The sequence below is a fragment of the Homo sapiens genome, chromosome 16, assembly GCF_000001405.40.
Source record: "Homo sapiens chromosome 16, GRCh38.p14 Primary Assembly".
Taxonomy (NCBI): Eukaryota; Metazoa; Chordata; class Mammalia; order Primates; family Hominidae; genus Homo; species Homo sapiens.
The window spans coordinates 53,696,804-53,709,735 of NC_000016.10; the positions used below are offsets into that span (position 1 = coordinate 53,696,804).

Below are 12,932 nucleotides of genomic sequence, written 5' to 3' on the forward strand. Positions count from 1 at the left end.
ACAAATAATTTCTCTTTACACTACCTTATATAAATTTTAAGAACGTTTATACTCTTTAGCATGTGTTTATGATTTCTTTTTACAGACGCTTAAATTTGGTATTTTCCGAGCCAGGCTTGGTGGCTCACGCCTGTAATCTCAGCACTTTGGGGGGCTGGGGCGGGTGGATCACCTGAGGTCGGGAGTTCAAGACCAGCCTGGCCAACATGGTGAAACCCCGTCTCTACTAAAAATACGAAACTTAGCTGGGCATGGTGGCGGACACCTGTAGTCCCAGCTACTCAGGAGGCTAAGTCTGGACAATCGCCCAGGAGGCGGAGGTTGCAGTGAGCTGAGATTGTGCCACTGCACTCCAGCCTGGGTGAGAGAGCGAGACTCTGTCTCAAAAAAAAAAAAGAAAGAAAAGAAAGAAAAAAGATGACTCAATAAAAAATGAGCAAGCTGCTTGAACAGGAACATCACTGACAGAAAATTCATATGATCATTAAACATATGAAAAGTTTATCAATCTCCCTCTCCCTCTCCCTCTCCCTCTCCCCACGGTCTCCCTCTCCCCACGGTCTCCCTCTCCCTCTCCCTCTCTTTCCACGGTCTCCCTCTGATGCCAAGCCGAAGCTGGACTGTGCTGCTGCCATCTCGGCTCACTGCAACCTCCCTGCCTGATTCTCCTGCCTCAGCCTGCCGAGTGCCTGCGATTGCAGGCGCACGCCGCCACGCCTGGCTGGTTTTCGTATTTTTTTGGTGGAGACGGGGTTTCGCTGTGTTGGCCGGGCTGGTCTCCAGCTCCTGACCGCGAGTGATCCACCAGCCTCGGCCTCTGGAGGTGCCGGGATTGCAGACGGTGTCTGGTTCACTCAGTGCTCAATGGTGCCCAGGCTGGAGTGCAGTGGCGTGATCTCGGCTCGCTACAACCTCCACCTCCCAGCCGCCTGCCTTGGCCTCCCAAAGTGCCCAGAGTGCAGCCTCTGCCCGGCCGCCACCCCGTCTAGGAAGTGAGGAGCGTCTCTGCCTGGCCGCCCATCGTCTGGGATGTGAAGAGCCCCTCTGCCTGGCTGCCCAGTCTGGAAAGTGAGGAGCGTCTCTGCCCGGCCGCCATCCCATCTAGGAAGTGAGGAGCGCCTCTTCCCGGCCGCCATCCCATCTAGGAAGTGAGGAGCGTCTCTGCCCGGCCGCCCATCGTCTGAGATGTGGGGAGCGCCTTTGCCCTGCCGCCCCGTCTGGGATGTGAGGAGTGCCTCTGCCCGGCCGCAACCCTGTCTGGGAGGTGAGGAGCATCTCTGCCCAGCCACCCCATCTGAGAAGGGAGGAGACCCTCCGCCCGGCAACCGCCCCGTCTGAGAAGTGAGGAGCCCCTCCGCCCGGCAGCCGCCCCGTCTGAGAAGTGAGGAGCCCCTCCGCCCGGCAGCCACCCCGTCTGGGAAGTGAGGAGCCTCTCCGCCCGGCAGCCGACCCGTCCGGGAGGGAGGTGGGGGGTCAGCCCCCGCCAGGCCAGCCGCCCCGTCCGGGAGGGAGGTGGGGGGGTCAGCCCCCCGCCCGGCCAGCCACCCCGTCCGGGAGGGAGGTGGGGGGTCAGCCCCCCGCCCGGCCAGCCGTCCTGTCTGGGAGATGAGGGGCGCCTCTGCCCGGCCACTCCTACTGGGAAGTGAGGGGCCTCTCTGCCCGGCCAGCCGCCCCGTCCAGGAGGGAGGTTGGGGGGTCAGCCTCCCGCCCGGCCAGCCGCCCCGTCTGGGAGGGAGGTGGAGGGGTCAGCCCCCCGCCCGGCCAGCCGCCTCGTCCAGGAGGTGAGGGGCGCCTCTGCCCGGCCGCCCCTACTGGGAAGTGAGGAGCCCCTCTGCCCGGCCAGCCGCCCCGTCGGGAGGGAGGTGGGGGGGTCAGCCCCCCGCCCGGCCAGCCGCACCGCCCGGGAGGGAGGTGGGGGGGTCAGCACCCCGCCCGGCCAGCCGCCCCGTCTGGGAGGGAGGTGGGGGGGTCAGCCCCCCACCCGGCCAGCCGCCTCGTCCGGGAGGTGAGGGGCGCCTCTGCCCGGCCGCCCCTACTGGGAAGTGAGGACCCCTCTGCCCAGCCACCACCCCGTCTGGGAGGTGTGCCCAACAGCTCATTGAGAATGGGCCATGATGACAATGGTGGTTTTGTGGAATAGAAAGCGGGGAAAGGTGGGGAAAAGATTGAGAAATCGGATGGTTGCCGTGTCTGTGTGGAAAGAAGTAGACATGGGAGACTTTTCATTTTGTTCTGTACTAAGAAAAATTCTTCTGCCTTGGGATCCTGTTGATCTGTGACCTTACCCCGCAACCCTGTGCTCTCTGAAACATGTGCTGTGTCCACTCAGGGTTAAATGGATTAAGGGCAGTGCAAGATGTGCTTTGTTAAACAGATGCTTGAAGGCAGCATGCTCGTTAAGAGTCATCACCACTCCCTAATCTCAAGTACCCAGGGACACAAACACTGAGGAAGGCCTCAGGGTCCTCTGCCTAGGAAAACCAGAGACCTTTGTTCACTTGTTTATCTGCTGACCTTCCCTCCACTATTGTCCTATGACCCTGCCAAATCCCCCTCTGTGAGAAACACCCAAGAATGATCAATAAAAAAAAAAAAAAAAAAAAAAAAATTGGTATTTTCCATATCATTGTGAAGAAGGTCGATTTTCAACAATTCTCCAATAGAAACAAAGAACAACTGATAGAGACTAAGGTCCTGTGATAGGTTACTGAGCACAAGAATTGAACTTATAGAGTATCAAAACCCAATAAATCACTTTGCACACTTACAAGTTATTTGTATAATACTTGATACTCCCTGAAAGATCTGCAGAGCAAAGCTTACACATACTTTTTACTTCTAACAATAAAATCTGTGTAGCCAAAAATTAGCCGGCATGGCGGCGAACACCTGTAAACCCAGCTACATGGCAGGCTGAGGCAGGAGAATCGCTTAAATCCGGGAGGCGGAGGTTGTAGTGAGCGGAGGTCGCGCCACTGCACTCCAGCCTGGGCGACAGAGCGAGACTTCGTCTCAAAAAAAAAAAAAAAAAAAAAAATTTCTGTGTAGCCAAATTTTATCTTTTTCAATAAACAATACATTGACCACTTTTCTGGTTTTCACAGTGGCCATTTACACTGTTCTGATTGAAAAGTGTATGTAGATTCCTAAATGGAATGTATCTTAAATCCCTAGCCTTCTCAGGCTAGAGGGGGATTTTACGTTTTCTATGAGCTGTTGATAATCGATACATGCATGACAGCATAGCTGACACAATGGACACACAAAGATAAACACAGCTCTCTGTTCTAAATTGTTCTTTAAAGTAGTGCTTTTCTTTCTCAATTTGAAAGTGCTTTTTAGCTCTACAGCAACTACTAAGTGATAAAAGGATAAAGAAAACCTTTAATCCATATTAATTCGATAAAAAAGTCACTATCATGTGAGATATTCCACTTAAAAGGCAAAACACTTAAAATACGGCCTTTCCTCCCATATAAAATTTAAACACAAAGAAATGTTTTAACACTGAATGTAATTTAAACCAGGCAATTCAGTTTGGAGGCTTGATACTCTCTATGTAGTTTCTACTGATGTGAGGAATTTTAAAAAGATGATTTATGTTAATTCTTTATCAGAACAGAGGGGGGACTGTACATTTTCTATGAGCTGTTGATAACTGATGCATGTAGTAAAATACCATATGTGTTCTAAACTCTCCATCTTTTTGTTTAGTCCAATCAAGGACTATATAGTTACTTAAATGGTTTGGTTTGTATGAGTATAAGAAATACTTTAAATTAAAAGTAGTCAGTGATCAAAGTTCATAACTGTAATAAATAACAGCTGGCCATACCTTGTAACCCTCCCATTCCAAAGAGGTTTAGACCTGTATCTTTCACAGGCAAGTCTCCTGCAGTCTCATCAGTTGGACCAGACATGGCCTAGCTGTGGAAAAAAGAAAATTCAAATAAACTCTTTCCAAATTATTACATTAACTATGCAATGGAATGAACCAAATAAAACGAAAAAGGGACTAGAACTTTAATGGGCATCTTATTGTCCACATGTGCTGCTTGGAGAAGATGAAAGCTTCTATTCTAATAGTACTACTACATTCAGTCATGGAGACAGTGTTCCTTTCAACAGTGTATTTCCTATAGTTTGCTTAGGAAATGAAGTAAGATTATCATTTAAGAAATACCTCCTCTCCATCCCTTTCCTCTCCCCAGCCTCCAAAAGAAAGCAGATATCTTGGAAAAAACTCAGGTCAGGAACTTGATTCAAATGGTTGCTCTATCATTAACAAACTAGTCAAGCCACCTAAACTCTCTGAGTTTCAGTCTCTCAGTTTTAAAAATGGAGAAAATAATACCTATCTCAGAGAGTTATTCTAAGGGTAAATGGGATGAGTAAATTAAAAGCACTGATCACATGTGCCTGGGATGTCAATATTACTCAAATATTGTCTGCTTGATGTACAAATGAGTGGGCAGTTCTGTGCATTTTGTGAGTTTTGTGAAAGAGGTTTCGTTGCATAAATTTACCAACTGGGTTTGTGTTTTTTTGTGTGTGTGTCTTGCCTTTGTTGCCATGAGGCCTAGGTCTCACCCAGGGTTCAACTACTTCAACATATAGGCTCTCTAGCTAATTCTAGTATTTTTGTAGTTTCTATTCTTTACAGAAATACACCATAGTAACTCTATTTTGAGTATGGATGTGAGTGGTCCACACAATATCTAGTATGCAAAAATAAAGGATTTTATATTTTCATTTCAATCTACCTAGTAAGCTACATGCAAACTGTGAATGAAGATACTCTAAAGGGCAGAGTTCTTAAGCTCTAGGATATTGGTTCTAGAATGTAAAGACCAAGACAGTAGCAAGCTTCATTGTCTTGTTCAGCTCTGTATTCTTGGAGGCTAGCATAGAGCGTGGTGCATTCTGAGAGCAGGCATTCATTAAATAGTTGTTGAGTGAGTGAATGGAGTCCATGGGGTTTCAGGGTCTGTGAACCCAGAGATGGTTTACCAAATTTTGTATGTATATGTATATATGCAATATCTTTTAAAGAGGGTTCATAACTTTTATTACAACTCGCAAATGGTGGAGAACCATTGCATTTTGCTTTTACAGAAACAGCTAACAGACAAATCCTTGGGAGATCATCTACTTCTTTTGGAAGTACTCCTATAGAAAAGGTCAATTTTTAGGATCCTGTTGACACATAGGCCCGTGTATGAAAATGATTAGTTTTCCATGACAGAGTTAAGGTCACTTTAAAAATAATAATGATGATGATGATGATGATGGTGTTAACATTCATTGAACGCTTACTATGTGCCAGGTACTGTTCTAAGTGTTCTGTTATAGGAATGAAGTGTCTCACCATATCCTTGTGAGGCTGTTACTCAAATGATTCCTGCTTTACAAATGAGGAAGCTGAGACACAGATTAGTTAACTCACTTAAGGTGGTAGTTGAAAGTATTAATAGTTGTGTCTGGTGATATTTTTGGTTGTCACAACAAGGAAGCGGGATGCTACTGGCATCTAGTGAGTAGAGGCCATGGATGATGCTAAATATCTTACAGTGCTTAGGAGACATAATAATGAATTATCCAGCCCAAAATGTTAATAATAGTGTAGAAGCTGAAAAACCCTGCACAATGCTGCAATGCCTCTCCAACACCATCTTATGTTATCCTTCTTTGCTCACTATGCTTCACTTACATTATTCTTTACTTTCCTCGAACCCCCCATACCCTTGTCTTGCTCAAGGCCTTTGTATTAGCTGGTTCCTTAATCTTTGGAGCTCAGTTCACTTCCTCAGACAGGTTTTCCCTGACCATCCTATGTTAGAGTAGTCTTCCTTACATTTCTTCACTGTTTATTTCTTTTCTTTTCTTTTTTTTTTTTTTGAGACAGGGTCTTGCTATGTTGCCCGGGCTGGCCTTGAATTCATGGGTTCAAGTGATCCTCCCACCTCAGCCTCCCGAGTAGCTGGAACTACATGTGCGTGCCACCAAGCATGGCTTGTATCTCTTATAGCAACTGCCTCTATCTGAAGTTATCAGATAAAATTATTGTTTGTCTCCACTAAAAAAGGATAAACATCTTGAGACGGGTATTAGTCTTGTTCACAACTGTTCAGGAACAGTGCCTGGTACAGGGTGGGAACCAACATTAATATTTATTGAATGATTGGCTGTGCGTGGTGGCTCACACCTGTAATCCCAGCACTTTGCGAGGCCGAGACGGGCGGCTGACTTCAGGCCAGGAGTTCGAGACCAGCCTGGCCAACATGATGAAACCCTGTCTCTACTAAAAATACAAAAATTAGCTGGGTGTGGTGGCACACGCCTGTAATCCCAGCTACTCGGGAGGCTGAGGCAGAAGAATCGCTTGAACCTGGGAGGAGGAGTTTGCAGTAAGCTGAGGTCTTACCACTGCACTCCAGCCTGGGCAACGGAGCAAGAACCTGTCACACACACAAAAAAAAGAATAAAGAAAAAATATTTATTGAATGAATAAATGAATATCAGGTACTGAGATTAAAATGGCAAGCAAAACCCCCGCCTTTATGAAGCTAGCAAGTTATGGAGGTAATCACATGATAAACAAATAATATATAATTAAGCAAACAATAGACCACTCAGGAGGTTTAGGGTCTACCAACCAACTCCTAATCCAGGGCAAATGAGCAAACTGTGTTAGGGACCTACAACTTGCAGGATCTGGATAGAGATGGCAATTAGCAGCATCAACTCTCACCTTCATGGCTGGGATATAACATTTCAAATTGGTCCTGGACGTGGGGATAAAGGGCGGCCTGTGATTCAGGCCTGAGGATGTGGAGGTGTCTTGGGCTGGGCTGCTTTCACGCCAGCAGAACTCCAGGGCCAACTCCAGGGCCTTCTCCAGGCGGCAGAGCGGACCCTAGGACCCCGGCCCGCGCTGCAGTGGGGAGGGTCAGCAACCTCCACCCACCCTCATCCTCCCCCATCCTCCCGGGTACTCACCGTGCCACTGGCCCTGCAGCTAGCTACCGTTGCTATAGCGCCGACAGCGTGGCGGGCGGCTGGCCGAGAGGAGCACGGGAGAAACATGGCAGGCTCCCGTAGCCTCCTGGGAAATGTAGTTCTCCTTGGACTCTAGCCTGTTTGCTCGCGGGGTAGCGGACTACGCTCTTCCAGCTGTCGGACCTGGGAAATTCTCCTGTGCTAAATCCCGTGGCGCTCGCGGGTGTCGCCGCGGTGCATCCTGGGAGTTGTAGTTTTTTCTACTCAGAGGGAGAATAGCTCCAGACGGGAGCAGGACGCTGAGAGAACTACATGCAGGAGGCGGGGTCCAGGGCGAGGGATCTACGCAGCTTGCGGTGGCGAAGGCGGCTTTAGTGGCAGCATGAAGCGCACCCCGACTGCCGAGGAACGAGAGCGCGAAGCTAAGGTATGTCGGGCTCCCGGGGCCTGGAGATCTTCGTGCGCTGTGAGCAAGGATCAGGGAACCGGAAGGGCTTGGTTTGATGGCGAGCGGATGCGCGGTGTTAAACTAAGGGATGACAGGGCCTTGTCAGCAAGGGACCTGGAGATATTAGAGGGGATGTTACAAATTCGTGCTCTTCAGGATGCAGGCCGAGTCTTGTTGGATCGGCTCAAAAATGAGAAGCAAGATACCCATTTCCTTGTCCTTCTTCTGCATCTATTCCTTGGTTAAATTTGTCGCCATCCCTGTGCCTCAGTTTACCGGATTCTCAGATGACTGTGATCATACCAGCTGTGCTTTCTCATAATGGTCTCTGAGGACTGAGATCGGCTTAGATGAAATATCTGTGCAGTCAGCTGTGTTTCTTTGGAACAATTGTCTCCGTGACCGGCTGATAACAGTTTGTGTCTTTTAGCGCTGTGGATATGAATCTTTAACTACATTGCTCCTCTCTACCTTTGATGTTCAGCTTCTGGTAGTTGCCATTCCATGGGATGACCATAATAATGGCAACAGAGATTTTAAAAAGCATTTATTGTGGGTCAGGCACTGTATTAAGTGCATAATATTTAAATTATTTCATATCATTGTCACAGCAGATTGCAAGATAGATATTATACAGATGGAGTATAAATAACAGCCCAGCTTCACAGATGAAGAACTGAGGCTCAGAAGCATTGAGTGTTTTCCTTTCTCTCATTCCCAAACTCAGATCCTGTTGATTTGTCTACGTATATTGGGAATATGCCCACTTTTTTTTTTTTTCATCTCCACTACCTTGGACCAAGCTACCATTATCTTTTTAATAGACTGTTGGAATAGCCTATTGATTGGCCTACACTCACTCTACACCCTAACTTAACTCTTCTTCCACCTTCTCTCCCTTCCCTCAACTACCATTCTCTTCTGCACACCATAGAGTAAGATCTTCGTGAAATGCAAATATAATTATGTCCCTTTCCTTTCTCCTTACTCTGCCAACCACCTGTTTAAAAATATTCCATGGCTTTCTGTTGCTCTTAGGATAAAGGCAAAACTTCACATTGCCTACAAGATCCTGCATGATCTGGACCCTACCTGCTTTCACAACCCCATTGGATATGACACTCTGCTCTCTGCCTACCAGTCACTTTGGCCTTCTTAAAAGTCACTCTTCACTATACTTTATCGGGCTTCAGGGCCTTTGCACATGTCATTTGCTGCCTACTCTATGTTAGGCAAATATTGGCAGTGAATAACAGTGTTAAATAACGTAGACACAGTTCTTGCTTTCATAGAATTTCATCTTACACGTGAGTCTGTTTAGGGCAATACACCTAAGGATTTAAAATATAAAATCTGCTCTATATTGACCTGAGTTATTGCAGTATTTCGTAAGGGACCAGAAGTTTTCATGCTTGAGTCTGCATATGATGTGGATAATATATTAAAGATAAGCACAAAGAGGGCGACCCTTCTGCTTTAGTCTACACAGTGCAAAGAAACAAATGTCACCTCATGGTGTTGTGCATGATGTCTTTCTCATCTTTCAGGTTTATTTTTAAAGTATTTCATTTATTCTGTGAAGATTTGTTGAGCACCTATTATTTGCCATAAGTTGGGATTATAATTTTGGCTGAAATAGAATCACTGCACCAAAGAAGCTCTTACTCTATTGAAACCATAACCATTGCCTGTGAGGGAGTTACTAGTGTCATCCATATTTTAGAGATTTAGAAACTGAGACTTGTAGGTAAATCGTGACTTGCCCAAGGCCACTTGGTTGCTAGGTGAAACTAGTGCTCTGAGCCAGGTCTTCTGACTCCAAATTCAAGGCTTTTCCCATTTTCTGCTTGTGAAACATGTTGAATTAGTAGAGCAAATTGTCTTCCTTTTTTCTTTAAAAAATTGGCTGTTCATTTAAAATTTGTTTGCTTAATATTATTTGTTAGAACAAAGTATAAGTAGTTGTTTTAAATCTTAAATGTAAAGTGTCCAATGGCTCATGAATTATCTTCTCTTTTTCTAATCAATTTTATTGAGGTATAATTTACATACAGTCATTTGCAACCATTTTTGTGTACAATTTGATGCCTTTTGACAAATGTATATACCTGCAAAACCACCACAGTTGGCATAGCGAACATTTCTCTCCTAAGTTCCCTCTCGTTAATTTGTGGTTAGTCTGTCCCTCCACCTTGGCCCCCAAACAACCACTGATATGTTTTTTGTCTCTGTAGATGCATCTGTATTTTCTAGATTTCATATAAATGGAAGCATACAGTGTATACTTTTGGGTCTTTTTTTCATTCAGCGTAATGATTTTTTTTTCAAAATAGAGATGGTGTCTTGCTGTGTTGCCCAAGTTGGTCTGGAACTCCTGGGCTGAAGCCGTCCTCCTGCCTCTGCTACCCAAAGTACTGGGATTATAGGCGTGAGCCACTGTGCCTGGCCAGCATAATGGTTTTTGAGATTAATCCATGTTGTTGTATGTATCCATAATTTGTTCCTTTTTATCGCAAATTAGTGGCCCACTGTATGGAGATACCACATGTTGTTTATTCATTCACTTGTTGCTGGACATTAGGATTGTTTCTGGTTTTGGACTCTTATGAAAAAAGCTGTTTTTACCATTCATGTATGAGTCTTTCCATTTTCATTTCTGTCAAAAAAAGCTGCTATGACCATTCACCTAAGAGTCTTTACATTTTTATTTCTGTCGGGTAATGCCCAGGAGTAGAATTGCTTAGTTATAGGGGAGTTCTTTGTTTAACCTTATGAAGAAATTACCAGTTTTCCGAAGTGATTTGACCATTTGTTTTAGTTTCTTATGGCTGCTGCAACAAGTTACCACAAACTTGGTGGCTTAAAACAACAGAAATTTATTATCTTACAGTTCTGGAGATGAGGCATTGAAATCAAGGCATCAATAGGGCCATACTCCCTTTGAAGGACTCTAGGGGAAACTCCTTCCTTGCCTCTTCCAGCTTCTAGTGTCCCTGGTGTTCCTTGGCTTGTGGTAGCATCACTTCATAACTTCTCTGCTTCCATCTTCACATGGCCTTCTCTCTGTTTCTGTGTCTCAAATCTCTCTCTCCTTTCTGTTAAAAGGATGCCAGTCATTGGATTAGGACCCGTCCTAAATCCAGGATGATCCTGAGATCCTTAAGAGCCTCAACTTAATTACATTTGCAAGGACACTTTTTCCAAATAAGGTTACATTCACACGTGCCGGGTTTTTGGATTCGGACATATCTTTTTGGGGAACAATATTCAAATGCACTGCACCCTTTTACATTCCTACCAACTGTTAGTAGGAATGTAAAATGAGAGTTCTACTTGTTTCATATCTTTTCATCGCTTGTCAGTCTTTTACATTTTAACCATTCTAGTAGGTGTGCAGTGATATTTGATTTTAATTTGCATTTCAGTGATGACTAATGAGGTTGCATATCTCTCTTTTTGTAAATCTTTATTGAGTGAGGTATAATTTACATACCATAAAATTCACCTGTTTTCAGTGTAGGACTCAATGGTTGGTAGCATATTTGCAGAGTCGTGTAACTGTCACCACCGTCTTATTTTAGAACAGTTCCATTCCAGAAGAAACTTTGTATTCATTTGCAGTTATTTCTCAATTCTACTTCCTCCCTAGGGAACCACGAATCTACTCTGTTCTTTAGATTTGCCTTTTCTGGACATTTTTATATAGATGGACTCATACAATATGTGGTCTTCTTTCACCCAGGATGTTTTTGAGGTTCATCCATGTTGTAGCATATATTGGTACTTTGTTCCTTTTTATTACACAGTGGATAGAATTCCAGTGTCAGGCCGAGCATGGTGGCTCATGCCTGTAATCCCAGCACTTTGGGAGGCCAAGGCAGGTGGATCACCTGAGGTCAGGATAACTTAGATCAAGACCAGCCTGGCCAACATGGTGAAACCCTGTCTCTACTAAAAATACTAAAATTAGCCAGGAGTGGTGGCACATGCCTGTAATTCTAGCTACTCGGGAGGCTGAGGCATGAGAATCACCTAACCTGGAAGGCAGAGGTTGCAGAGAGCCCAGATTGTGCCACTGCATTCCAGCCTGGGTGACAGAGTGAGACTGTGTCTCAAAAAAAAAAAAAGAATTCCAGTGTCAGGATATACCATATTTTGTTTATCTGTTCACCAGTTGATGGACATTTGATTTGTTTCTACATTTTGACTATTATGGAAAATGCTACTGTGAACATTTGCACCCTAGTTTTTGTGTGGACGTGTTTTCATTCCTCTTTGGTAGATACTTAGGAGTGGAATTACAGGACTTATGGTAAATCTATGTTTAACATTTTAAGAAACTGACAAACTGTTTACTTGTGTGGCTACACCATTTTACATTTCCCATCAGCCATTTTGAGGGTTACAATTTTGTCACATCCTTGTCAACACTTGTTGTTGTCTGTCTTTTCTATTGTAGCCGTTATAGTGGGTGTGAAGTAGTATCTCATTGTGGTTTGATTTGCATTTCTCTGATGGGTAATAATGTTATGCATCTTCTCATGTGCTTATTGGACATGTGTATATCTTCTTTTGTGAAGTGTCTGTTCAAAATCTTTGCCCATTTTTTTGTTGGATTGTTTGTGTTCCTATTATTAAGTTTTATGAGTTCTTTATATTTTCTAGATATAAATCCTTTGTTTACTATGTGTGTTGCAAACATTATCTTCCATTCATCTAGGTTACTTAATAGTTTTTAAGAAAGGTCCACTTTATCAATGTTTATTTTTATGATTCATGCTTTTTGTGTCATATCTATGCAGTCTTTATCCCAAAGTCACAAAGATTTCTTTTTTGCTTTTTAAATTAAACTTTGTCATCCCCATAATGGGCACTTAGTTTTTATTTTTCTTTTCTCTTTGAAATAACTTAGATCATATTTTCTCTCTTGTGATTGCTTATGCTATGGACTTTTATGCTGTTTCCAAGTCTGGAGGGTGAATAAGAAGGTTGGACCACATAGCTTTCTACGATTAACATTTATTTAATTTGTGTTAAGCACATGAGAATACTATACGGTATTCATGCATTTTTAAAATGAACTTTTCTTCTAAGGCATATAATAGAACAGTCCAGATAAGTATTTGATGGTTTGAGTTAGAACCATGGCGTCTACTATTTCCTTACTGTAGGGATAGGGGATTCATACCCCGTGCCTCAGTTTCTCCAGTCATTAATGAGGTTAAGAATAGCTGCTTCTGTGGGTTGGTGTGAGGACCCAGTGTGATGAGGTCTAGCTACTATTCCAGGGGTAGAGTAGCATGCCCTTGATTGAGTTTGGTGGCCTGAGGGGTCCTCTGCTGGGGTGGGGCTGGCCCTATGCATTTTTTCCCAGATGTTATAATTTATTATTTTGAAATGATTTAAAACTTATTGAAGAGCAAGAGTAGAACCTAGAGCTCTCATAGACCTGTTTGTCCATATTCACAGGTTAACATCTTGCTGT

At 44.3% G+C, this 12,932-nt stretch overlaps 2 protein-coding genes across 55 annotated transcripts in view, besides 4 other annotated features; one reads left to right on the forward strand and one right to left on the reverse strand.

The window, feature by feature from the left end:
• The window catches only part of RPGRIP1L (RPGRIP1 like), a 105,707-nt gene extending 98,651 nt beyond the window's left edge, over positions 1-7,056 (reverse strand). For 26 of the 30 annotated variants that reach the window (XR_007064862.1, XR_007064860.1, XR_933260.4 and 23 more), the window contains exons 1-2: positions 7,000-7,056; positions 3,836-3,927 (exon numbers count right to left, since the gene is read on the reverse strand). Coding sequence is in view for 26 of the 30 variants with exons in the window: in NM_001127897.4 (NP_001121369.1) it covers positions 3,836-3,920 (85 nt within the window). In the remaining 4 variants the exon portion in view is untranslated. Of the gene's footprint in view, positions 1-3,835; positions 3,928-6,751 lie in introns of all 30 variants that reach the window. The other 4 variants (XM_047433872.1, XM_047433871.1, XM_047433870.1 and 1 more) reach the window with 1 other exon arrangement.
• Positions 6,966-7,015: a silencer, noted in NCBI's record as "silent region_7502". NCBI's record gives its function as "represses an Ori minimal core promoter by ATAC-STARR-seq in GM12878 lymphoblastoid cells {active_cell/tissue: GM12878}" and the evidence as "EXISTENCE:reporter gene assay evidence [ECO:0000049][PMID:35858748]".
• Positions 7,051-7,551: an enhancer, noted in NCBI's record as "H3K27ac hESC enhancer chr16:53737766-53738266 (GRCh37/hg19 assembly coordinates)". NCBI's record gives its function as "activates a minimal SCP1, AML or CMV promoter by ChIP-STARR-seq in primed H9 embryonic stem cells {active_cell/tissue: H9 hESC(primed)}" and the evidence as "EXISTENCE:reporter gene assay evidence [ECO:0000049][PMID:30033119]".
• Positions 7,051-7,575: a biological region, named in NCBI's record as "H3K27ac hESC enhancer GRCh37_chr16:53737766-53738266".
• Positions 7,160-12,932, forward strand: part of FTO (FTO alpha-ketoglutarate dependent dioxygenase) — a 417,979-nt gene continuing 412,206 nt past the window's right edge. For 16 of the 25 annotated variants that reach the window (NR_156761.2, NM_001080432.3, NM_001363905.2 and 13 more), the window contains exon 1: positions 7,353-7,426. Coding sequence is in view for 22 of the 25 variants with exons in the window: in NM_001080432.3 (NP_001073901.1) it covers positions 7,382-7,426 (45 nt within the window). In the remaining 3 variants the exon portion in view is untranslated. Of the gene's footprint in view, positions 7,427-12,932 lie in introns of all 25 variants that reach the window. The other 9 variants (XR_007064911.1, XM_047434606.1, XM_011523314.4 and 6 more) reach the window with 1 other exon arrangement.
• Positions 7,166-7,575: an enhancer, noted in NCBI's record as "active region_10847". NCBI's record gives its function as "activates an Ori minimal core promoter by ATAC-STARR-seq in GM12878 lymphoblastoid cells {active_cell/tissue: GM12878}" and the evidence as "EXISTENCE:reporter gene assay evidence [ECO:0000049][PMID:35858748]".